We start from the raw sequence: 24,626 nt of genomic DNA on the forward strand, positions 1-24,626 counted from the left end.
CCTTTCCTGTTTCCTGGTGAGCATCACCACGGGCCTGAGAAGTCACTCTTCACCTTGCCTCCCACCACACAACTCCAGCTCCAGGTGGCATACAAAAACCATGTGCCTGTCCTCTTAGAGTGATTTCTAGGAATGCAGTATAGTCAGCCCAGCAACTATGACTAGACCCCCATGTGGGCAGAAGGGGGTGGTAGGGCCTGTGTGTGTTTGGAGACAATTCACCATGACTATCTCCGGTTTCAGCATGGTCAGGGTTCTCTGAGGAAATACATTTACAGCCACGTTAGTAAAGTTGGTATGAGGAGACATTCCAATCCAGGGTAGTAAATGTAAATCTCCACAAAGGACATTTGTTTACATCTGATCATTCATTCCAAGGTAACGAGTAATCTCTCTCCCTGCAGGGGAGAATGGGTAGGTCACTAGTAGCCAGAGTTTCCTGCGTTGGGGTTTTCTCTCCTGTGGTGTATCCCATTACATGTGCAGATACTATCTAGCCTCCTATTGGTCAAAGGCAGTTACAGGCCAGCCCCCATTCAAAAGGAGGGGAAATAGGTACCACCTGTTTTTGTTTTGTTTTGTTTCGTTTTGTTTGAGACGGAGTCTCGCACTGTCGCCCAGGCTGGAGTGCAGTGGCAGGATCTCAGCTCACTGCAACCTCTGCCTCCTGGGTTCAAGCGATTCTCCTACCTCAGCCTCCCAAGTAGCTGGGATTATAGGCATGTGCCACCACGCCCGGCTAATTTTTGTATTTTTAGTAGAGATGGGCTTTCGCCACGTTGGCCAGGCTGGTCTTGAACTCCTGACCTCAGGTGATCTGCCCACCTCGGCCTCCCAAAGTGCTAGGATTACAGGCGTGAGCCACCACGCCCAGCCGATACCACCTCTTAATGTAAGAGTGGCAAGGTTGCACTGCAGAACAGCATGCCACCCTGTAGAGACTGGGGTTCAGGATGCAGATCCAAGATATTGCTGTGGCTGCTGATTTTGCTGTGAATAATAAACTGTCTTTGTTTCGGATCCAGAGGCTTTATATTTTCTCTCAGAGTGTTAGAGTGTGGTGATCAACTAAATTTTCAGCTTGCTAGTAGGGTAAAATCTTAGATTATAACAGCTTCTGACCTACTACTGTGGAGTACCCTCCTTGGAGTGTGGCTGTGATTTGTGCATGGATTCCTATAGCTGAATGGGGAAGGGAGCTGAGCAGGTAGGGGATTACTTCTCTGGATCATTCATCAAGAGCAATGCTTGGGTGCTCTATTGCTGCACAAAAAATCACCCCAAAACCTAGTGGCTTAAAACCATAATTCATTAGTTTTCAAAAATCTGTGAGTCAATTGTATGATTCATCAGCTTCATGTGGTGTTGGCTAGGCCACCAGAATGACTGAAAGGCTTGAAATGGCCTCACTCACATAGCTGGCAGTTAGTGCTGGCTTCTGGCCATGCTGCCTGGGGAACTCAGCTAGGGCTATTGGCTGAGAGCTTTGGTTCTCTTCCATATGGGCCTCTCCCTGTGGCTGCTTGGGCTTCCTCAGAGTATGGCAGCTGACTTCCAAGAAGGAGTATGCACAGAAAGCAAACTGGAAGTTGCAAATCCCTTAAGGGTTAGCCTTGGAAATTATACAGCATCACCTCTGCTACATTCTATTGGTCAAAGGGGTTACAGGGCCAGTCCACATTCAAGGAGAAGGTAAACAGAATCCACCTCTTGATGTATGAGTGGTAAGATCACCTTGCAAAAGAGTGTGTGGGATGGGGGATATTATTGCAGCAGTCTTTGGAAGCACAATCTATCAAATGGACGTAGATGGGGGACTATACAATAGTATTTCTCCAAGTGCAGCAAGCCCCGCATCAGAATCATGGGAGCATTTGCTGAAAATGCAGACTGGGGCTGATTCTTGCACACTAACATTTGAGATCTGGTGAGCTGCAGAACAAAGCCCAAACTTCTTGGCCTACCACCAGTCCAGATCCTCACTTATCTTGTCTGACTTTATGCTCCAGTAACACTCGATTTCTTGGCATTCTCTTGCACATAATAAGCTATTTAACCTACAGATAGAGTTTGGATGTTTGTGCCGTCCAAATCTCATGTTGAAATGTGAGCCCTAATGTTGGAGTTGGGGCTGAGTAAGGGGTGTCTGGGTTGCAAACTGGATTGTGAACATCCTGAAGGTGGACCCCTCAGGAAAGGCTTTGTGCCCTCCCCGTGGTAATGAGTGAATCCTCGTTCTATGAGTTCATGCAAGAGCTGGTCGTTTGAAAGAGTCTGGTGCCTCCCTCACCTTTCACTTGCTCCTTCTCTCACCATTTGACATGCCTGTTTCCTCTTCGCCTTCCACCATGATTGTAAGCTTGCTGAGGCCCTTACCAGAAGCAGATGCCAGCACAATGCTTCTTGTACGGTCTGCAGAACTGTGAGCCAAAATAAACTTCTTTTCTTTATAAATTACCAGGTCTCTGGTATTCCTTTACAGCAAAGCAAAACAGATTAATATACCTACTAATCCACACCTTTGCCCATAACTGTGCCTTCTGCCTGGAATAACTTGACTCCTTTGCCTCATCAAGGATTTACTCATCTTTAAAGATTCAGTTTTATGTCACCTTTTTGGGGAAGTTTTCCTGACCTCCTCTTCTCCTATGGATTGGGGTAGGTGTTCCACATCCTGTGCAATTGTCCCCATTATAGCACTTGCCAACTTGTAATGTCATTGTTAATTTGTCTGTCCCCTTCACTGGATTGTGAACATCTTAGGCAGGGATATGTCAGATTCATCTCTGTCCTCTAAATCCTAAGTGTACTTAACTGAATTGGAAGTATGACAGTGTCACAGTGAATTCCTCTTTGGCCTAATGTTTCTTAAAGAATATGGTACTTAAAATATGCTTAAAGTTGCACTGTTTTCTTTCTGACAATTCTCAGCACAGCTAAGATGCTTGCAGCTACTTGTAACAAAATACCCAACTAAAAGTGGGTGTCTTAGTGTGCTTAGGCTGCCAAAACAAAATACCATAGACTGGGTGGCTTAAACAACAGAAATTTTCTCACAACTCTGGAGGCTGGAAAGTCCAAGATTAAGTGTCCAGCAGGGACCTAGTAAGGGCTCTGTTCCTGGCTTGCAGATGGCCACCTTCTTGCTGTGTACTCACACGGCCTTTTCTCAGTGTGTGCATGTGAGTGCATGAGATCAAGCTCTCTGGTGACCCTTCTTAAAAAGCACCAGTTCCATCAGACTAGAGCTTGGCCCTCATGACCTAATTGCCTCTCAAAGACCCCATCTCCAAATACCATCACACAGGGAATTAGGGCTTCAACATATGGACTTCAGGGGGATGAAAACATTCAGTCCATAACAGTGGGTTAACCATTTGATTTAATAATTTTAGAAAGCCAGCAACCTGCAGTCGGTGATTCTCCAGTGTGAGATAGGAGCTATTATTGTCTGGGGATCTTCCTTTCCTTCCTCCTAGCCCTCCTCACTCTGTCATCTTCTTACCCCAGGCTCACCTCCTCTTGTGCGTAAGATGGCTGTCGGGGCTTCAGGCATCATATCCTCAAAGTTCAGTTTGAAGTTATTAAGCTGGTGGGGCAGGATGGGTCTGGGATGGGCATGAGTAACTCCCTGTCTGCAGATCTGCCTTTTAACAGTGAGCAAATTGTTCCCTTTATATCTTCTTTTCCAGACCTGGGTCGCAGGCCTCCTGTCTACACCCAGAGCAATCACAGGCAAAGAGGCTTAATCACGAGCCACACACCCACTCCCAACTTAATCAGGGGTGAGGTGAGAGGGGATGAGCTGTTGGATATTCGAACCCAAACAAAATGAGCAAGGAAATAAATCTAGCCCAGAAAGCAAATGTCCTAAATGCCTCACCAAGATATTGGCTTGATGTTCATAGCAGTGATTTTTTAATCAACAGAAGTTAAATGTTACTCTTAACATAAACCATGGGCGGAAGCTCCGAGGGCGGCATCAGAACACTTGGTTGCCCTACAGATGGCAAGGGGGTGGGTTTGTGGCGGGGCGGCGGGGTGCGTATGGAGGGGGAGAGTGGAGGGAAGAATGGGGTGGGGAGGAATTGCTAAAATGCACGGAATTGCTCCTGCTTCAAGATGTCAAGACCGAGGGAGCTTGAGCTGTTCTATACCTTTTCCGGGAAGGACAACTGAGGTGGGAAATCATTTTTGATACTTGAATGTCTTCAAACTTCTTTTTACACCCCACGTCTCTGCAGTCAACCCGGTGTGACTATAGAGTGAAGCACGCTACGCATAATCCGTTTGGGGATTCCGAACCCCAGTGGCTCTGTACGCACCCAGGTCGCTGGAGCAGGAGGTCCCAGATCCCCGCTGTAAGGCTCCGTGGGCGAGCGCCCAGGTGGGGCTGGGCGAGGTGGGGGTTCCCGGCGCCGGCCCCGCGCGCCGCCCTCCCCGCCCCCGCTCCCGCCCCCCGACCCCCGCGCGCGCGGCCTTGTGGGTAACGCGGGGCCGCCAGGTGACAGCTAATGGCGGCGGCCGCCTGAGGCGGGCGGGCGGTATAGAGCGGGCGGCAGGAGGCAAGCAGCGAAACCTTCCCGGCCGCCGCTCCCGTCCCGACGGCGGCTTCCCCAAGGCGGCAGGACTCGGCGCGCCATGGACAGGCCGGCGGCGGCGGCGGCGGCGGGCTGCGAGGGCGGCGGGGGCCCGAACCCGGGGCCGGCGGGCGGCAGGAGGCCTCCTCGGGCCGCGGGGGGCGCCACCGCCGGCTCCCGGCAGCCCAGCGTGGAGACCCTGGACAGGTAAGCGGGGCCCGGGCTGCCCCGGCCTCCCGCGCCCCGACTCCCGAGGGCCCCGCGCGAGGCCAGCCCGCCCCCTCCCCGCGCGCTGCGCAGGGCCTGGCGGTGGCGGGGTGGGCGGCCCCTCTTCATCCCCTCTGGGCCCTCCTCCCCCCCACCCCCGGAAACCTCAGCGCCCCATCCGGGGACTGCTGCCCTCGGACCTGCTGCGGGCCGCGCACCTGGCTCACTTCCGCCCCGAGAGCCCCAGCTCCTGGAACCCCGGGAGGGGCTTCGCAGCTGTCAAACCACTTCCGGCGCCGCCACCTGCTGCCCTTGGCGATCGCTTGGCTGTCCCTGCCCAGGCCACCAATCCTCTTGGGAGGGAGATCCCACCCGGGCTCTCCTCTTCTAGCATCACCTTGCCTCGTGTGGTTTTAAGACCCCAATTCTGCTGTGGCTGCTTAGGGTCTTTGATGGGGGGTTGGGAGTGAGGACGGGGAGATGGGACCCCGCGGGCGTGGGAGCTGGTGCAGATCGAGGCAAAAATCTGAGATGGAAAACGTCCAAACTGCTCAGGAGGCAAGAAAACAGAACCATTTACTTTCAGTTCTTCACACTTTGAGGGAACCAGTTTATTGTTTTCATGAACACACAAGCAAGCCTACTGCTTCTGAGGCAGCTGCAGAACTAAGAGAAATCAGTTAGAAACATAAAGTGACCGTGTCGAACTGGGAGGGGCCACCGCCTCCTCCGACGACAAGAGATGGCCTATCGTGTAACCCGGAACATCCAGTTTTCCCACAACTTGGCCATTTCCCTGACACCAGAGTGCACTCAGGCAGCATGCACTGTTGGAATGTAGCTCAGTCAGTTTTACATGCCCATTCCTGCCTGTCTTGGTCATCCCATTGTGCCAAACTTTTGGGAGTTTCCAAAAGCACAGAAACAAGAAACATTCCCTTCACTTTTGTTTCTACCTCAGTGTAATTACAATATATTTTAATAAATTAATCACCCAAGTGGTTAGTGTCACTGAAAACCAGTCACAGCTAAGACAGCACTTGAAATGGTGAGGACTTCACTCATCTGCAAATATTCAACCACACACGAGGTCTGGGCGATTCAGAGAATAGCACAACACGGCTTTTGCTGCCTTACCATTTTGCTAGACTTACCATCTAGTGGAGAATACAAACCAACCAACAGTGGAAATCGAATGTGATAAATGAGATAGGTGGTAGAGGCGAACACAGAAGTACTCAGGATGGGCATGCATCAGAATCATTTAAGAAGCCAAAGGAGACCAGAATGTGTCACCCCCAAATATGCCTCATCTTCTGGTTTCCTTCAGAGATTTTGATGATCAGGGAAAGCCTGAGAAAGCTGACATTTGAGTAATGCCCCCAAAGAGGCGAGGGATCCAGCCATACAGATACCTGGGGGTGATAGTATTCTAGTCAGAGGCCTGTGCAAAGCCCCTGAGGTGAATGTGAGCCAAGTGTTCCTAGATCAGCGAGGAGACTAGGTGTCACTAGCAGGGAGGGAGCTAGGGAGAGACAAGTAAGGGATGACGTTAGAGAAGTCACAGAGCCAGATGGTGGAGAGCCTCAGAGGCCATGGGGAGCCACTGGGGACTTTGTGCAGAGGAGTGACATCATCTGTTGTAGATTTCAGTAGGCTCTCCATGGTGCTATGTGGACAATAGAGTGAAAGGGGAAGGAGCTGAAGCAGAGACTGTCAGTAGGAGGCTATTGTAGTAAGCCAAGTGAGATGGTGGTCCAGAGTGGAGCGGAGGAGGGGAGAAGTGGTCAGATACTACATGTAATTTGAAGACCTGCAGGGTAGAGCCAATGGGGTTTGCTGAAGATTGGTTGGTTGGTATGAGAGAAGAATCTGGGAGAATTCCAAAATTTTAGCTTGTGGGAAAATTGTGTTGCTGAGATGGAGAAGTCTTTCTAAGGTGGAGCAGGGTTAGAAAATAGCAGGCTCTTCGCTCTGGACATATCAATTTTGAGATGCCAATTATATGTCCCAGAATAGATGTCAAAGATATAGTTGATCTATCTGAGCCTGGAGTTCAGGGTTGTCTGGGCTGGAGATTCAAACTGGGGAGTCATGGGCTTATAGATGAGGCTTAAATTCATGAGGCAGGTGGAGTTCACAGAAGAATGATGGAGGTCTGGAAAAGGGAATTGGGCTAGGAATAGGGCTGGGTGGATTTTCAAGATGCTTACCAGGTAAGAGTGACCCGACATGGTGAGCATTCAGATGTGAGGGGGGAGTGCCGGGTGGACTCCAAGGCAAACCTCAGCTTTCTAGCGTGTGGGGGCCGGATAACTGGCTGTGCTGCGCCCTGAGTTAGGAAACACAGGAGCAGAGTAGGTTGCGGGGCTGAGCGGCTGATGCTGGTTTAGACAGGTTGAATTGGCAGGGTCTCTGGGCCAGACTAGTGGACAGGTCTTGTAGGAACATCAGCATTGAGATCAGGAGAGTCCAGGTTGGAGAAACAGAGCTGGGAGCCTCCAGCCTGTAAGTAGTTATTGACACCAGGAGTATAGAGGGCAATTGCACAGACTACAGAGAAGGGATGGGGGAGGAATCATGGCCTCCTTTCTCAGTTCTGTCAGCTCAACAAGCTCAGATTCACACTTTTCTTTGAAGAGTGACCTCTAGAATGGAACCTGGCTCTATGGGTGGGACTTGGCCATGTCCCTGGGACTATGGGGCCTTCACTTCTCTTCTGAATACTGTAATTAATAATGAGGAAGCTGTGGTCCTGTAAGAGGATGTGTCTTGCCAAAGATCATGGAGTTAGCTGGTGACAGAAGCAGGACTCATGTCCAGGCCTCCTGTCTGCTAACCCACTGTGCTTCACTGTGTGTAACTACATTGGCCAGGATGCTTCTGGTTGCAGGTGACAGAAACCACAGTTCAATCTAGCTTAAGGCAAATGAGATGCCCTGGCTCACAGAACTGCTCCAGACAGGAGGAGAGATGGCCACAGGCACAGTTGAGGTCAGGATTGCAAACAGTGTTGTCGGGACTCCCCATCTCTCTCTCCCTCTCTCTTTTATTTTCCCTCACTTTTTAATCGCTGTGAGTTCCTTAAGATGGTAGGGGTGGGGTGGGGTGGGGAGTGGCCTCCAGCAGCTCTGGATACAGATCCATGTATTTCAGGATCCAAGGGGAAAAGTCTGGGATTGGCTGGTCCTAGGTAACTCACCTACAAGTGGGAGCAGGTGGAGGAAGGGGTCAACCTTCTTCTCCGCTTTCCCCCACAGAAGCCTGTGTTGTGGGGAAGGGCAGTTCCCAAAGTAAAGAGGAAGGTCTTTATCAGAAGAAGGGGGAAGGCATGCCGGGCAGGCAGGTGGTAATAGCAGGTCACACTCATGCTCAGCAGTTGGGTTTCTGCAGTTTCTTCCTGTATTTGCAACTGGTGGGTGCTGACAGAAAAAGGCATTATGACAAGAAAAGTATGATATACGTGGGAATGAAAGTGACTTAACCTTTAAAAAGGAAACAAATCTCTCCCTTTTCTCTCCTTCTCCCCCTCAGGTCGAAATTGTGGTATATAGATTCCTGGCATGTGATAGGAATTTCTGCTCATTCAGTATTTTCAACCATACAGATAACCTCTGGTCTGTTTTGATCAGAGACTGCAATTTGGATCACTAGCACAGAACTTCAGTTTTCTTTCTTTTACTATTTGGGTCATTTTCCATATTGCCTGGGGATTCCAGGTGTTTCTGTCCTTCAGATATGTGAGTGTGGGTTTAATTAGTGATATGATTTTTTTTTTAAAGGCCTGAAACATTCTTTACAGTGAAAGCTACCTGCAAGGTAAACTTTTGTCGGTGTTTTTAGCCCTCTAGCTTGATTTCTTAGTGTTTTGCCAAATTGTGAGAGGAACCCGGCCTCTGGGGGCAATTGTTAAATCTCTTACTGCGCTAGTTGGCTTATGTGGTCTTTCAGGTCAGGTGAGTACAGCCTGACCACTTGCCAGTCGTGTGACCTTGGGCAAAACTGGACCTTAATTTTTTCATCTGTAAAATGGGTCACTGTGAGGCTGGGCAAGGCTACGTGTGTGAAAATGCTTTGATGCCTCAGAGCTCTGTGGGAGTGAAAGATGACATTTTCTTTGCATTGCTGTGTTTTCATGTAAAGCGGTTGGCTCGCATCTGTGCTGCTGGCTTCAGTGCAGTGAGTCAGTCGCTATTGGTTGTTCCATGTCCTGTTGAGGACAGCCACTTTCTCACAGGGCATGTCACCTCTGTGCCTCGATTTTCTCTCCTCAAAGACAAGTCGGCTAGTCCCTGTTCTGCCTTCTCATCACACCATGGTTGTGAGGCTCTGATATAATAAAAACCATTTGTGCTTGTAATCCCAGCACTTTGGGAGGCCAAGGCGGGTGGATCACCTGAGGTCAGGAGTTCAAGACCAGCCTGGCCAACATGGTGAAAACCCGTCTCTACTAAAAATACAAAAATTAGCCAGGCATGGTGGCATGCGCCTAAATAATCCTAGCTACTAGGGAGGCTGAGGCAGGAGAATTGCTTGAACCCAGAAGGGCAAAGTTTGCAGTGAGCCGAGATCGCGCCACTGCACTCCAGCCTGGGTGACAGAGCAAGACTCTGTCTCAAAAAAAAAAATAAATAAAAAATAAAAACCATTTGTAAGTTGTCAAAGCACTTATAGAAGTGTAAGGTATTGTTAGTACTACACAGAGAACATCATTTTTCTAGGCTGTAATTTATAAATCTCATGTTCAGCTTTACTTTTCTGAGTCACTTTGCTTCACTCAAAAGTACACTATTTTCTAGATTTAAAACTACCAACATGAAATTGATTGAATGTTTGAAAAGCCTATGCTGTAAGATAAATATTTCACATATTTCTCCCGGCTGGGTGTGGTGGCTCATGCCTGTAATCCTAGCACTTTGGGAGGCTAAGGCGGGTGGGTCACTCGAGCCCAGGAATTCGAGACTAGCCTGGGAAACATGGCAAAACCCTGTCTACACGCGCGCGCACACACACACACACACACACACACACACACACACACACACACACAAAAGCCGGGCCTGGTGGCATGTGCCTGTAGTCCCAGCTACATAGGAGGCTGAGGTGGGAGGATCACTTGAACCTGGGAGGTTGCAGTGAGCTGAGATTGCACCACTGCACTCCAGCCTGGGTGACAGAGTGAGACCCCATCTCACAAAAAAAAAAAGAAGTATTTCTTCCATATAATTTTAATAGAGTAAAATTCCATTAAATGGTAGAGAATAGTAAGCTTAACTAACACCTAGAATCTTCAACTTTGTTTGAGAAAATTGGGTGATTCATTTAAAATTAACCTGGAATCTAATCTTATTTCCTAGTTGTCAGTCGCTATTTCAGTTCTTACATAAAATGTGAAGGTAACCAAAGAGTCTAGTTAGTTCATCTAAAAAAAGAAGTGTTATCATATTCCTATTCAGTGCTAATTTTTTCACTGAGATCCTATGATATAACGTTTTGTAATCCATGCTATTTTTTTTAGTCCCACAGGATCACATGTTGAATGGTGTAAACAGCTTATAGCTGCTACAATTTCTAGTCAGATTTCAGGTTCAGTGACATCAGAAAATGTGTCCAGAGATTACAAGGTAAGCAACATTGAGTGTTTAATTCATTTTCAGTATGCTAAGTAGCCAAGAAGCTTTGCAGTTTTAATTCAAGTGAGCTGTTGGCCTTTTGATGCAACATGGCCATTTGCTCGAGAATAAGGATGAAAGGTTCTCTGTTGTTAGATCTGAAATGTAGAAGAGAAATTTTACCAGTATCCAGTACATGTAGTCATAGTTTTGTAATTGAAAGGAGAAGCTGTCTTTAGATGACAATGATTCTTTTAAAAATCAAGTTCCATTTTATAATAATAAATGCATATAGCTTCTTTGTTAGTATTGTGAGTTTCAGGAAATATCTTGATGTACAATACTTCCCTAACTTCACAATTTTTTAATTTATGTATTATCTGTGAGTATTCAGCATTAACATGTGATACTAGAATGTATAAAAACCCTTCCAGAATCTCAAAAGAGTATTGTATGGGCAGCCTCATTTTTCAGTCCTTACTGAAGTGAAAATCTCTTTTTGTTCATTTTAAAAGTTAGATTCCCTGCTTATTCTAAATTTAAGTGATAAGCTCCTTGTCAGCAGAGACTAGGGCAGTTTTACCACTGGCTTCCCAGGCACAATCCTGGAGCATAACAGTTGCTCAATAAATATTGAATCAATTAACAAATCAAAAAAATCGCTTGTTCCATCTTTGTTAAGGCTAAAGACTAACTTTGTTTTAATGTCAATAAACTATTAATAGGTATATTAAATGAAATCACATTTATATTTCAGTACTGATGTTTGCCTAAGTTGAGGTTTCTGTTTATTAGTGGTCATTTTTCCTGCTAGTAAGAGATGATTGATTTTTCACAAGTGTGTGTAAAATGCATTTGGTATCCCAGACTACCATTAGTTAATAGTCTCTCAATATCATGGTCCTTGCCAGACATCAAATCTTACAAATATCAAGAATTACAGTAAAGATCCTAATTAATTCTTAATAGGTACTCCTTGTTTAGGAGCTTTATCTTCAGTTCCTCTTTAGAGCTCATAGGGTAATAACAAGTGCAGAAACAGGCTCAGGAGGCCAATTAATTGAGATTTGGCTATGGTGCTGTCTCTTGCCTCATCCAAACTGGCAGATGCTGTTGATTATGCCTACCAAAGGAAGGCATAGCTGTGGATTAGCAGAAATTGGATAATCTGCCCAGCTAGAAGAGTGACAGTGTATTTCTTAATCATTTTTCCTGCTATGTGGTGTTCATGTTTGCCCATAAAAGAGCAGCTGGGGCTCCTGGACCTTAAAACCTGGTCGGGCAAACACACTGTCTCCAGGTGGGAGAAGCATTTGCTGCATCACTGATGCGTGAATGGCTGGTCACTGAGCAGCTGCGGATCGCATCAGTTCCAGTTGCCCTATTGCCTGCACCTTAGCTGAGAAACTGCCCGCTGAGTAGAGAGACTTAAGAACCCATTTTAGCAGAGAATAGCTCTCACACTTCGGGGTGATTTTCTTTATGGACAATTATGAGTTAACTGTAATGTTTTCATTAAGGTTGAATAGTTGTTAGTGTTGTGTGTGTCCTATAAAAGATTGAATGTCGACTGTGTGCATAGCTTTCTAACATTGCATGAATAGATCAGACTGAATCTGTACTTTAACATGAAGCAACTAAGTTTTTTCAATCTCAGTCTATTTACAAATTTTGTGTAGCTGAATTAGCTCATGTTGGAATGGTTGAACAGATGGTATTCAGAAAAAATAAGGCTTTCTTTCTTTTGGAAATTAAATTTTAAGTTCCTACATCAGATCATAGCTAAAGTCTTTGATGAATTATTGTAAGGGGGCATGTTTTATAATTGTCTTTGTTATATTTGCCCTGCAGCCAAATCTGAAAAGTTGGTGTTAAATTTATAACTCAGGGGTTGTTACACTTTCTTCAAGGAGAGTTTTTTTTTTTACATAATAAATACATAAAATATTTCTAAACCACAAGGATAATTGTACATGTTCCCTATAAAGTAGTTCTTAAAATCAGGGTAACCAAAATGGGCCTTTGGGACCCCTCTGGCATGGGAGCTATTGCATGGGGTTGACCCTGAAGAGCCAGATAAAGTTCCTTGAGGATTTAAGTTGCAGTCATCAGCTGATATTTGAAATTATCTGTTGTGTAAATGTCTTATTTGAAATACACACTTAATTTGGGGGCTAATTTATTATAGATTAAACTCAACATCAGTAATTAAATGGGAGCAGATGTTTATGTGGAGCAGAATGCTTGGCATCTTATTTGAAATGCTGATTGTCTTCTGAGTTGTAACAGGCTGTCGAGAATGGTTCTATGTCATCATCATCATCATCATCATCAACCCTCTAACACATACAGGCTCTGGGGTTTTGTAATGCTTTTTGACATGTCATCCATTTAAGCCTTAAAACAACCTAGTGAATCTGGGTGTGGTGGTCTGTAGTCTCAGCTACTTGGAAGGCTAAGATGGGAGGATCACTTGAGTCCAGGAGTTCAAGGCTGCAGTGTGCTGTGGTCACACTTGTGAAAAGCCAATGCACTCTAGCCTAGACAACATAGAGAGATCTTGCTTCTTTAAAAAAGTCCATTGAGGTAGCTATTACTACAATCATCATTTAATGGATGAGGAAACCGAGGCCTAGAGAGATGAAATGACTTGCTTAGGGTCATACAGTTAGACTTGGGATTTGAACTCAAGTCATCCTATTGAAAAGCTAGAGTGATTTTAAGATTTTGTCCCACCCCCATTCCCATCCACTGCTTTTCGATCTTTTTTTTTCTTCTTTTTCTTCTTCTTCTTTCTTTCTTTTTTTTTTTTTTATAGAGATGGGGTCTTACTACGTTTCCCAGGCTGGTCTTGAACTCCTGGGCTCGAGCGATCCTCCCATCTCGGCCTCCCAAAATGCTGGGATTAGAGGTGTGAGCCACCATACCCAGCCTCATCCACTGTTTTTCAAAATGTGACCCTTGGGTCTTCCCAAGACAGCATTCTCTGGAGCACCTGTAAAAATGCAGCTTCCCGGGCTCCATCCCAGATTTACTGAATCAGAGTGTCTGAGGGAGGGAAACAAGTGTCTCATATATTTCTTATGCATGATAAAATCTGAAAACCTAGGCTTCCTGAGTTTCTGTCTGTTGAAATTGGTGATGGGACCCTGCATTTCTGGTATATTACTAAGAATCTGAATAATTAGCAACTCAGATATTGGAGAATAATTATTTTATTATTTACTCATATCATAAATTGTCAGTCAGCCCAGGGTCAGCTCATCTAAAGTACAGTAAGAATATCGCTGGTATCACGTGACATGAGTTTAGATGGTATGTCCATGGACGTATTTTAGTAGCTATGTAATTATTTTCTTGTGTATTAGAAAAATCAGCACATCAGGCTTGTGATTTAGTAGATGTTATGGCTTAGAGCAGGCAAAGTATTAAAAAGGAATGGATTTTAAATCAATATAAAGATAAATACAAAATTAGTATGGGCAGTTGGCAGATACAGCAAGCCAAACTTGTTGAGGTGGTATGTGAAATGGCAAGTTTGGCAAGCATTGTCCCAGCTGAAAGAGTAGATAGCTATTATACTGAATTGTGTGGCAGCTAAATTAATAAATGCCTGATTTAATACCGAGTCATCCTGAAGATTGGCCTGTTAATTAAGACTATTACACAAAATGTAATAAAATATTTGTTTTGCTTGTCCCCCCTCCACTACCAACTCAATTGCTTTCATTTTTACTAGGCTAACAAATGGTAAAAAATTTCTCTTGAATTTGCCAGAAATTTTAAGAACAAAATTTGAATGTAATCTTCTGTAGATTAGATGAAATAATACAGTTACAAATGGAAACATTTTTAGGAACTATTAGTAGAAGTGACATCATTGATCACAGCTTCCATTGTTTGGAAAGTAGGACTAGGTTATGAAAAGAGAACATGATGGAGTAGTACAAACAATATTGGTTAGCTTGTGACCTTGTATAGTCTCTGAGGCTCAGTTTCCTTTTCTGGAAGGATAAAGGGGCTTGGATTAGATTATTCACCTCTAAATGCCTTTCTTGCTAGAACATTATTCAATTGTGTTCAAAAGAATTTGATCTGGGCCAGCTTTATGAAAATTAGGACACTATAGTTTTAATGTGATCATCTTCCTTCCTCTTGCTTCATCATTATCATCAGCTCTTCTCTGTTCTCCTTCCCTCACCCACACACACACAGTAGCTATATCTCTTCTCTAAACATTCTGAAGAAAAATGAGAAAATGGAGATGGCCTTATACTAAGTTTAATCATTGGATGGGATAGTACAGTAATTACATTTGGAGGGAAGTCGAAGGCAGAGTATAGGAAAGACTTCATTATGCTTGAGCTGGGTCTTGGTTAACATTTCTTAAATTGGGCCCTAGTCTATGAAAAGGGAAGCTTTAGCATGAACCTTCAAAATCTACTTCTGTAATCTATAGCCTGGCCTTGTGACTTATAAATCAGAGCTTGCAAACTCAGATGCCTTCATGGAACAGTTCACAAATCTAGGCAGACATGGAAGAGTGCTGTAGAGAACTGGAGAGTACAGAATGCCCACCTAACAGCAATTAAATTTTTTTAAAAACCATAGGCCTCCAGTTTTGTAACCACTGTAATAGATAGAAGAGTGCTATCCTATCATGGTTTTTGTGGGAAATAATTATTTCTTAAAAATGTTAAGATTTAGACTTCTGTTTCTGGAAAAAATGGAGCAAATGTATTTTCTCTTATTCTTTGTACTAAGTACAACTAAAAACCTTGGACATTATCTGCAAAATAAACATAAGAATACTCTGAAAGGTAGAAAAGGCAGACTAGCTAGGGACCTCAAGACCCAAGGAATGACATGGTTGTGAGTTTCCTGGGTTTGTTTTTGCCACGTATGTCCCAGACTCATTGCTGAAGAAACCAGTGAGTCAGAAATGCCAACAGGCGCAGATAAGAAAAGCCTACTCTGTCTAGCCAGAGGACCAGGAAAGGGGCACCTAGCAAAAAGAAAACACACTAACTACTCTACTCCAGCCAAACACCACAGAAAAAAATTATGACCCCACACCCACCCCACCAACAAAGCCAGTTGGGAGAGCCTGGTTTCCACCCTTGCCAGGCTATAATGAGGCATACCAACTCCCTGCAGTGGTGGTGGTGTCAGGGGAGACTGAGTGAAGAGTCATGACTTTCACTGTCATCTATTGGTAGGCAGGTTGCCCCTTCTACTGTGGTGTCAGTAGAGGCCGTATCAAGGGCAACAATGAGGCACCCCTTTTTCTCTCAGCCAGGGAGGTTTCTGTGGAAGCCTAGCTGGGAGCTAGAACTCTCACCCTTGCTCAGCAGTAACGAGGAGCCCTCCACTCTGCAGTGTCAGTGGAGGCTGAGTACGGAACCTGGACTCCTACCCCTACCTAGAAGTAATGAAGTAGTGCTCCTCTTCTGTTGGAGCAGTGTCAGAGAAAGCCAGCTTAAACAAAGGGTTTGAATAAGATCCAGGGTCTTAAAACATAATGCCCCAAATGTGCAGATTTTAATGAAAAATCACTTGTTATACTAAGAATGAGGAAGATCTCAAACTGAATGAAAAAAGAGAATCAAATCAACAGATGTCAAAACTGAGATGATAGAGATGTTAGATTTTAAAGAAGTCCTCATAAAATTGCTTCAATAAGCAATTGCAGGTATGCTTGAAACAAACAATGAAAAAAAAAATAGAGAAGTTTCCACAAAGAAATGTAAGAGACAAAGAAGAACCAGATGGAAATTTTAAAACTAGAAAATACAATAAATGAAATAAACTCAAAGGATAGGTTCAACACCATAATAGAGAGGACAGACAAAAAGAATCTGTGAACTTGAAAATTGAACAATAGGAATGACCCAATTTGAATAACAGAGATAAATGAACAGAGCCTCAGGGAATTGTGGGAGTATAACAAAAGATCTAACACTGATGTCGTCAAAGTCCCAAAGGAGAGAGAGGGGATGGGGCTGAAAAAGCACCTGAAGAAGTAATGGCTGGAAGCTCCCCAAATTTGGCAAAACACATAAGCCTACAGATTCAAGAAGCTGAGTGAATCCCAAATGAGAGAAATCCCTTCAAATTCACACAAAGACACATTATAGTCAAATTTCTGAAAACTGAAAACAAAGAAAAAAATATTGAAAGTAGGAAGAGAAATAACACTTTACCTATAAGGAAAATTAATTCTAATGACAGTGGATTTCTCATCAGAAACCATGAAGGTCAGAAGGAAGTGGCACAACATTTTCCAAGTGCTGAAAGAAAAAAATCAACCATGTAAAAATATGCTACAGGAATGAAGAGGAAATCAAGACATTTTCAGATGAAGGAAAACTGGAAGAGAAGTTGTCACTAGCATACCTATCCTAAAAGAATGGCTAAAGAAAGTTCTCTGAACAGAAAGGAAGCAATAAAAGGAGGAATCCTGAGACCCCAGGAAGGAAGAAAGAACACAGTAAGCAAAAAAACCTCCTAAATCTAATAAGTGAGTTTAGTGAGGTCACAGGATACAAGACAATATAGATATAAGATTAATATACAAAAGTGAGTTGCATTTCTATGTACTAGCAACACGTGGGGACCAAAATTAAAAACACAGTGCCATTGACATTAGTATTGTAACAATGAAATACTTAGGTATTGTCTTAGTCCGTTTGCTGCTGCTGTGACAGAATGCCACAGACTGGGTAATTTATAAAGAAAATAAATTTTTTACTTTCAGTTCTAGAGGCTGGGAAGTCCAAGTTTGAGGGGTGAGCATCTGGTCAGGGCCTTCCTGCTGCATCATGACATGGCAGGAGACATCACATGGCAAGATAGAGCAAACCTGCTAGCTCAGATCCGTCTTCCTATAAAGTCACCAGTCCCATCATGGAAGCCCTACCCTGATGACCATATCTAATCCCAATTACGTTCCAAAGGCCTTACCTTCAGGCAACATGAATCTGGGGATTCAGTTTCCAATACATGAAATTTAGGGGACATGTTCAAACCCCTACAGTGGCTGTACCATTTTACATTCCCTCCAACAGTACACAGAGGTTCTGATTTCTTGATGTTCTTGCCAACAGTTGTTATTTGTGATGTTTGTGGTTTTTGTTGTTGCTGTTGAGACGTAGGAGTTTTTTAATATGTTCTGGGTATTAATACCTTGCCAGAGATGTGATTTGCAAATATTTTCTTATGAAATTTTGGGGATGTATTCCAACCATAGCAAGTATAAATCTAATAAGACATGAACAGGACTCATAAGCTGAAAACTATCAAATATTGATTAAAGAAATCAAAGAAGATCTAAATTAATGGAGACACACAGTGTTGTTCATGTATTTGGATGATTCAATATAGGGAAGATGTCACTTCTCCCCTAATTGATATACACATTTAGCACAATTCCTATCAAAATCCCAGAAAGATTTTTTGTAGATACAGATTTAAAACTTATATGGAAAGGCAAAGGAACTGAAGTAGCTGAAACAATTTTGAAGAATAAAGTGGGAAGAATCAGTCTAAATGACTTCAAGACATGCTGCATAGCTACAGTAATCAAGACTATGGCAGAGGTACAGACACATAGATCAGTGGAACAGAGCAGAGAACCTAGAAGTCATCCCACAGAAATATGCTCAGCCGATTTTTTTTTTCCACCAAGACATGAAAACAATTTAATGGTTGAAAGATAGGCTTTTCAACAAATACTGCTGGAGTAATTGGACATCTATAGACAAAAAAACAAAACAAAACAAAACAAAACCTTGATCTAAGTCTCACATCTTATACAAAAATTAACTCAAAATGAATCACAAACTTAAAAATATAAAACTTTTACAGAAAAAAGAAAATCTTAAGGATCTGGGGCTAGGTAAATCATTCTTCTTAAACTTTACACCAAAAGCACAATCCATAAAAGGAAAAAATTGATCAAAATTTAAAATCTTTTGCTCTGTGAAAGACTCTGAGAAGATGAAAAGACAAGCTACAAAGTGGAAGAAAATATTTGCACACCTCATATCTGACAGATGACTAGTATTTAGAATATATAAGGAATATTTGAAACTCGACAGTAAAAACATCAAACCATCCAATTAGAAAATGAGCAAAAAACATGAGGCATCTCAACAAAGAAGATATACACATGGCAGGTAAGCACGTGAAAAGACGTTCAACATCATTTCTCAATAGGGGAATATAAATTAAAGTCACAGTGAGATATCGCTATATCCTATTGGAATGGTTAGAAATTTTTAAAAAGTGACAACACCAAATGTGGAGAACCAGATTATTCACTGATTGCTGATGGGAATATAAAATGGTACAGCCACTCTGGAAACACAGTCTGGCAGTTTCTTAAAAATGAAATGTGCACCTGCCATATGACCAAACAATTGTACTCCTGGGCATTTGTCCAAGAGAAATTAAATCTTATGTTTGCATAAAAACCTGTACCTGAATGTTTTTAACAGTTTTATTCATAATCACCGAAAACTGGAACCCACCCAGATGTTCTTCATCAGGTATATTGTTAAACAAATTGTAGTATATCCATGCTATGGACTATATTACTCAACAATAAAAAGAAATAATGATACACACAGGCAACTTGGATGAATCTTAAAGGAATTACGTGAGTAAAAAAATGGCAGTACCAAAAGGTTACATACTGTATGACTTCATTTATATGACATTCTTCAAATGGCAAAATGATAGAAATAAAGACAGATGAGTGGTTGCCAGGGGCCAAGAAGAGAGGAAAGCAGGGAGGGAGTAAGATGTGGCTATAAAAGGTCAACAGTAGAGTTCATTGTAGTGATGAAATTTTTCTGCATCTTGATTGTAATCAATGCCAATATCCTGGTTCTGATATTGTACTATAGTTTTGTAATATGCTACGACTGAGGGAATTGGGTGACTGGTACATGGAATCTGTATTATTTCTCACAACTGCATGTGGTTCTACAATGATCCCAAAATTTAAAGTTTAATTTTAAATAAGTCAAGATTTTTAGACTGCTGAATGATTCTATATTACATGTAAAAATTTGTATCATTGTATTTATAACAACTGAAAAATATAGTTATACTAAAAAAGATGTTAGAAGTTAACTATTGTGTTTCTTATGTTAGATTTATGTAACAACTGAAATATATAGTTATATTTCAGTTATATATATATAACTATTTAACAACTGAAAAATATACTAAAAAAGATGTTAGAAGTTAACTATTATGTTTCTTATAATAAATTTAGTTAACGACAAGATGATGCAGTATGCTTGCTTTCTTAAATAGATTAAGATCACTATCAACTTTTTTTGCACCTTCTCATAGGTTCTTGACATGTTTAGGAGTTGAGGGAGGGGATGTGGGGCATGTGAAAATAGTTGTGGCACAAGTTGGGGCAGCTGAGACTCATCAACTGAAAAAGGTTACTTATCCACCCCAGGTACAATTATCTTAACTGATTTAACCCTGCCAACAATCTGCAAGGGAGGTGCTCTCGACATCTCCCATTTAGAGAAGAGGAGACTAAGATTCCAAGGTGGGTGTGTGGTTCGCCTGAGGTCCTGTGGCCAGTAAGTAGGTGCTGGAGCTGGGATTTCACTCTGGAGTGTGTTCTTTTAACCACTATGCCGACTTACCTCCCTCAGCCTCAGTTTGGCAGATGTTTTCTTAAGTCTTCTAATGAGGCCTAGATACCCCGAATCCTTCGGAGTTGGGAACTGGTAGGGTCCTGGCAGTCATCCCATAGACTCCCCTCATTTTATGTGTCGAAACTGAGGCCCAGAATGCAGGCATTAGGAAGCTCTGTATCATCAGCAAGAGCTGGCTTCCAGGCCTCCTGGCTTACAACCTATTCTCCTACGGCTTCCATCAGAATCACATTTAAGAAGAAAATGAAGCTCTGTGCATGTGTCTGAAATGGCTTATTTCAGGAGAGGGACATGGTGAACCAGAGAAAACACAATAGGTATCAACTTAGAGACTTTTGGGTAAGCCTCCATTGACCTTCTCCCCTCCACCCCCATACCAGGAACACTGAGGATTTCATGGCAGTAAGTAAAGAATTATGTGAGTTTAAAAGCAGATTATCATCTCACCCCTTTGCACCCTTTTTCAAGTTAGTTTCTCGTTTTAGTGGCAAAGGCCTATTGACAAGGAGTTATAACTCCCATATATGAGGTTTGTGTTAGGCTGTTCTCACGTTGCTATAAAGAAATACCTGAGACTGGGTAATTTGTCAAGAAAAGAGGTTTACTGGGCTCACAGTTCTGCAGGTTTAACAGGAAGCATGGTGCTGGGATCTGTGTGGCTTCTGGGGAGGCCTCAGGAAGCTAACAGTCATGGTGGAAAGCAAAGGAGATGCTGACGTCTCACATGGCCAGAGTGGGAGCAAGGCAGCGGGAGGTGCCATACCCTCTTAAATAACCAGATCTCAAAAGAATTAATTCACTAGCTCAAAGACAGCGCCCAGCCATGAAAGATCCACCCCCATGACGCAAACACCTCCTACCAAGCCCCACCTCCAACACTGGGGATTAGAATCCAACATGAGATTTAGAGGGGACAACGTCCAAACTATATCAGGGTTCAATTGCACAATTTGGTTCTGCAGTGGACAATATTTTCATAAAGATTTTGTTGTGAATGTTTTTAGTTTTCAGTTTTTACTATCAATTTATAGACAAAGCATCCAAACATTAATTGTAGTTACAGAATGGAGGTTGGGAGGTAGAGAGGTGGAGGAAGGGTTAGTGGTATTGATTTCTTCAAAAAACCTGAAGGGAGTTAAGAGATATTTAACATTTGAGGGGTCAAAATAGGTTTAGGGCTGTAGTTCAAATGGTTTAATGATAGAGGCGCCATGCTGAGGCAGTATAGCAGAGTTGTTATGGGCACAAATCCAGAGCCGGACTTCCAGGGTTTAACTGCTTGCTCTGCCACCTTGAACTCAGCCAGATTACTTAAACTGTGCCTTGGTTTTCTCATCAAAACATGGGGCCAGTTATAGGTGTTTTTTTCTGTTTTTGTTGTTTTGTTTTGTTTTGTTCTGTTTTTTTGAGACAGAGTCTGGCTCTCACCCAGGCTGGAGTGCAGTGTGTGATCTCGGCTCACTGCAACCTCTGCCTCCCAAGTTCAAGTGATTTTCCTGCCTCAGCCTCCCAAGTAGGTGGGATTACAGGCTCCTGCCACCAAGCCCGGCTAATGTTTTGTATTTTTAGTAGAGACGGGTTTCACCATGTTGGTCAGGCTGGTTTCGAAATCCTGACCTCAAGTGATCCACTTGCCTCGGCCTCCCAAAGTGCTGGGATTACAGGCGTGAGCCACTGCGCCCGGCCATAATAGTTTTTATCTTATAAGGTTGTTCTGAGAATAAAATGAGTTAATACAGTGCTTAGAAGAGTATCTGAAACATAAAAATCATGAGTGTTTTTTATGATGCAGCAGCTGCTGAAGGAAAACAAAAGAACTCAAAATTAGCATTTCAATCAGCAGAGATTGGGAAGAGGGAGATAGTAGTTTGAGAGTTAATTTTCTCATCTTTTAAAATGGGAGGTTAATAGACACTTTAAAGTTGACAAATCAAGAAATGGAAGCATAACTATCACAATGGAAGCAATTCTCAGAATTAAAAATAGATCTAGTTAAGTGTGGTTATTACTGGGGAATGAAGCTCTGGGAGACTTACTGTTTTGAGTTATTACCATAAACATATACTACTTTTATTTATTATCAAATTTCTTGATGTGTAGTTAACAAATGATAAACCTCAAATATTTAAAATGTGCAATTTGATAAGCTTTGACAGAAATACACACATTTAAAGCCATCACCACAGTTGAGGTAAACATATCCATCCTCCCAAAAAAAGACACATTTAAGCTTCTCAGTCTGAATAGTCTGTGTTTAGTAACTTATGTATAGACTTTGTCTTTTAGCTATATCATCACTTAATTCAGATACCTTTTAATGACTTCAAAGATTATTTTAATGATAATACAGTGATTTTTTTGAATCTGTATCATGCGATCTTATGCATTCTGAGTGAAACCATAAAACTAGTAAGAACCTCCAGTGATTCTTTTCTGATTATTTGTTTTCATAGGACATTCAGTGGTCAGAAGATAGGATTTCAGACTTTGAAATGGGGAACAGAGATGGTTAAAATCTTCCCAGGCTATTACAACTATTTGCTTTTTAAAAATTCTGGCCATTCCCTCTGACCAGGGCTTTCTGAGTGTGTATGCTGCATGTTCAATTAGGATTCACAGGCCTCAGGCACAACAAGAATATTGTTGCTAAAATCAGTGTGCCTGCTGAATAAAGCTGGGCTTTCCCTCCTCTCCGGGAACAGCCACTTACCTCTTCCCGCGTGGAGCCCCCCTTTGGCCATGCAGCTGGTGCTGGGGCGGGGAGCGGGCACCCTCCTCTCAGTAGTGGCCACATTGGAGTCCCCAGTATGAATTGGAAATGTAATTTCAATAGAAAGCAGGTTAAGCTTTGCAGGTAACTCAGCTTTATGATACCATCAATGCAATATAGCTGAGCTGTGCTTGCTCTGGGTCCAAGGTGGGGATTTCTGTGGTTTTTTGGTTTTGTTTTCCTGGGCTGGTTTGGGCATATAACTGCCTTTTTTTTTTTTATCATTGGTTTTTGGGGAAAATGCATTCAGTATTCCAAATGGAAACTAATGAACTTTTTGAACACAGCCTGTTCACAATAACTTGTAATAGCACTTGACAGAAGGGGTTTGCGTTTAAGGTAATGTAGTTAGTCTTAGCCTAAGGGCAACATGTTTCTCCAAATCATAGACTTCCCTGAAAATTATAGGACAAATGTGTTAGGATTGATCTGATATTGAATGAAACTTAGAGGGCAAATGTGTTATGATTGATCTTGTTGGTTTTACTTAGAGGATTATGATGTTTCTTAGGGAATAGGCTGTTGAACTTAATGGCATCTTTCACAGGTCAATAGTAACATGTCCATGATGATGATATTCTGTATTTTAACTAACAGGTTTTCAGGAGGCCTGATCTAAGGGTAAGGATATTTGGCTTTCAGCGGATGGGCCTCCTACTTGTGTGTGTCTGTGCTTTATCGAACACTTAGTCTATTTAGTGTTCTTTACCTTCTCACTGGTTTTTATGAATCACTCAGATCAATTTGCTCTGCTGTGTTATAGCTTTCAGTGTTCACTAGAAACGCTTTATTTGTTACAATGTTTTCATGTGCAATAAAAGCCAATGTGTGTGAGGGCGGGATGCTAAAATTGTTACCAGTGTGCAATACTGACTTTTGTTGTACTACATGAATTATGACCAAATGGATATTCATGACTGGGGTTATAAGGCTGGGGCTACTGAGGTCTCTTTTAATCTTGTTTATTGTGTAATTCATGCTACAGAATTTAGCAACTAAAAAAAAAAAGGTTAGTTGGCTGTCCTATCTAAGTAAGATTTCAAGTCATGTTTGTGTTTGCATGTTGAATCCAAAAAAGCAGAAGTGCTAATCTTGAAGCTAAATTTAGCAAAATCAATCCCAGTTACTATTTTTTAAAATACAGATATAGTGGGTTACAGCTTATATTTTCCTCATGATTTTCCTTCCCTTTATTTCAGAACATTCATAAAGCAAGACAAAGATTGGTAATGTGCATGCATTTAACAGACATTGAAAATTAACCTATTTCTATTCAAGGAAAACAATGTGGATTTTGATAGTATAATAACTTCAGTTTAAAAGTTTTAATCTTATTGAAGCCAATGAAGTAGTACAAAAATAAGCAAGCTAAGTCTTGTTATTCTAGCTGGTTTTCCTTTGTTTAGTCTTGTTTTCATCATGTTTTCTTTTGCTTGTGGGAATCATTTTCTTTCATTGATTCACACTGTTAAATATTAGTGCTTGGCTTTACACTTGCATGAACTTTGAAATGTTGTATTTTTTGTTCATTGAGTTTTCTGTTTCTAAAAACTTAATTACTCGATTTTCTTTATATTTAAAAAATGGAAATTTCAAAAAACTGGCTGCACTGAAAAATTACACTGCCTTGAAGTATGCTAAACTATACCAACTGTGTACTAAATTCAATCTGATGATAAAATATAAAAGTACATTAAGGAGTTATTGTACTTTATTGACAAAAATGGAAGGTGGGAAATAGTAAATTCTTTTAAAGCTTTACTAGTTCTTC

General features: G+C 42.4%; 1 protein-coding gene across 21 annotated transcripts in view, besides 4 other annotated features; it reads left to right on the forward strand.

The window, feature by feature from the left end:
• Nucleotides 4,073–24,626, forward strand: part of MTMR1 (myotubularin related protein 1) — a 72,147-nt gene continuing 51,593 nt past the window's right edge. For 7 of the 21 annotated variants that reach the window (NR_148676.3, NM_001353990.2, XM_006724855.4 and 4 more), the window contains exons 1-2: nt 4,507–4,787; nt 10,306–10,411. Coding sequence is in view for 10 of the 21 variants with exons in the window: in NM_001353990.2 (NP_001340919.1) it covers nt 4,642–4,787; nt 10,306–10,411 (252 nt within the window). In the remaining 11 variants the exon portion in view is untranslated. Of the gene's footprint in view, nt 4,181–4,506; nt 4,788–10,305; nt 10,412–19,877; nt 19,974–22,865; nt 22,940–23,452; nt 23,477–24,054; nt 24,082–24,626 lie in introns of those variants that run through there. The other 14 variants (XM_005274765.4, XM_005274766.4, XM_011531210.3 and 11 more) reach the window with 8 other exon arrangements.
• Nucleotides 4,438–4,507: a silencer, noted in NCBI's record as "silent region_21051". NCBI's record gives its function as "represses an Ori minimal core promoter by ATAC-STARR-seq in GM12878 lymphoblastoid cells {active_cell/tissue: GM12878}" and the evidence as "EXISTENCE:reporter gene assay evidence [ECO:0000049][PMID:35858748]".
• Nucleotides 4,818–4,957: a silencer, noted in NCBI's record as "silent region_21052". NCBI's record gives its function as "represses an Ori minimal core promoter by ATAC-STARR-seq in GM12878 lymphoblastoid cells {active_cell/tissue: GM12878}" and the evidence as "EXISTENCE:reporter gene assay evidence [ECO:0000049][PMID:35858748]".
• Nucleotides 5,851–5,950: an enhancer, noted in NCBI's record as "active region_30023". NCBI's record gives its function as "activates an Ori minimal core promoter by ATAC-STARR-seq in GM12878 lymphoblastoid cells {active_cell/tissue: GM12878}" and the evidence as "EXISTENCE:reporter gene assay evidence [ECO:0000049][PMID:35858748]".
• Nucleotides 5,971–6,050: an enhancer, noted in NCBI's record as "active region_30024". NCBI's record gives its function as "activates an Ori minimal core promoter by ATAC-STARR-seq in GM12878 lymphoblastoid cells {active_cell/tissue: GM12878}" and the evidence as "EXISTENCE:reporter gene assay evidence [ECO:0000049][PMID:35858748]".

This window comes from Homo sapiens, chromosome X (genome assembly GCF_000001405.40).
Source record: "Homo sapiens chromosome X, GRCh38.p14 Primary Assembly".
In the NCBI taxonomy this organism is placed as follows: domain Eukaryota; kingdom Metazoa; phylum Chordata; class Mammalia; order Primates; family Hominidae; genus Homo; species Homo sapiens.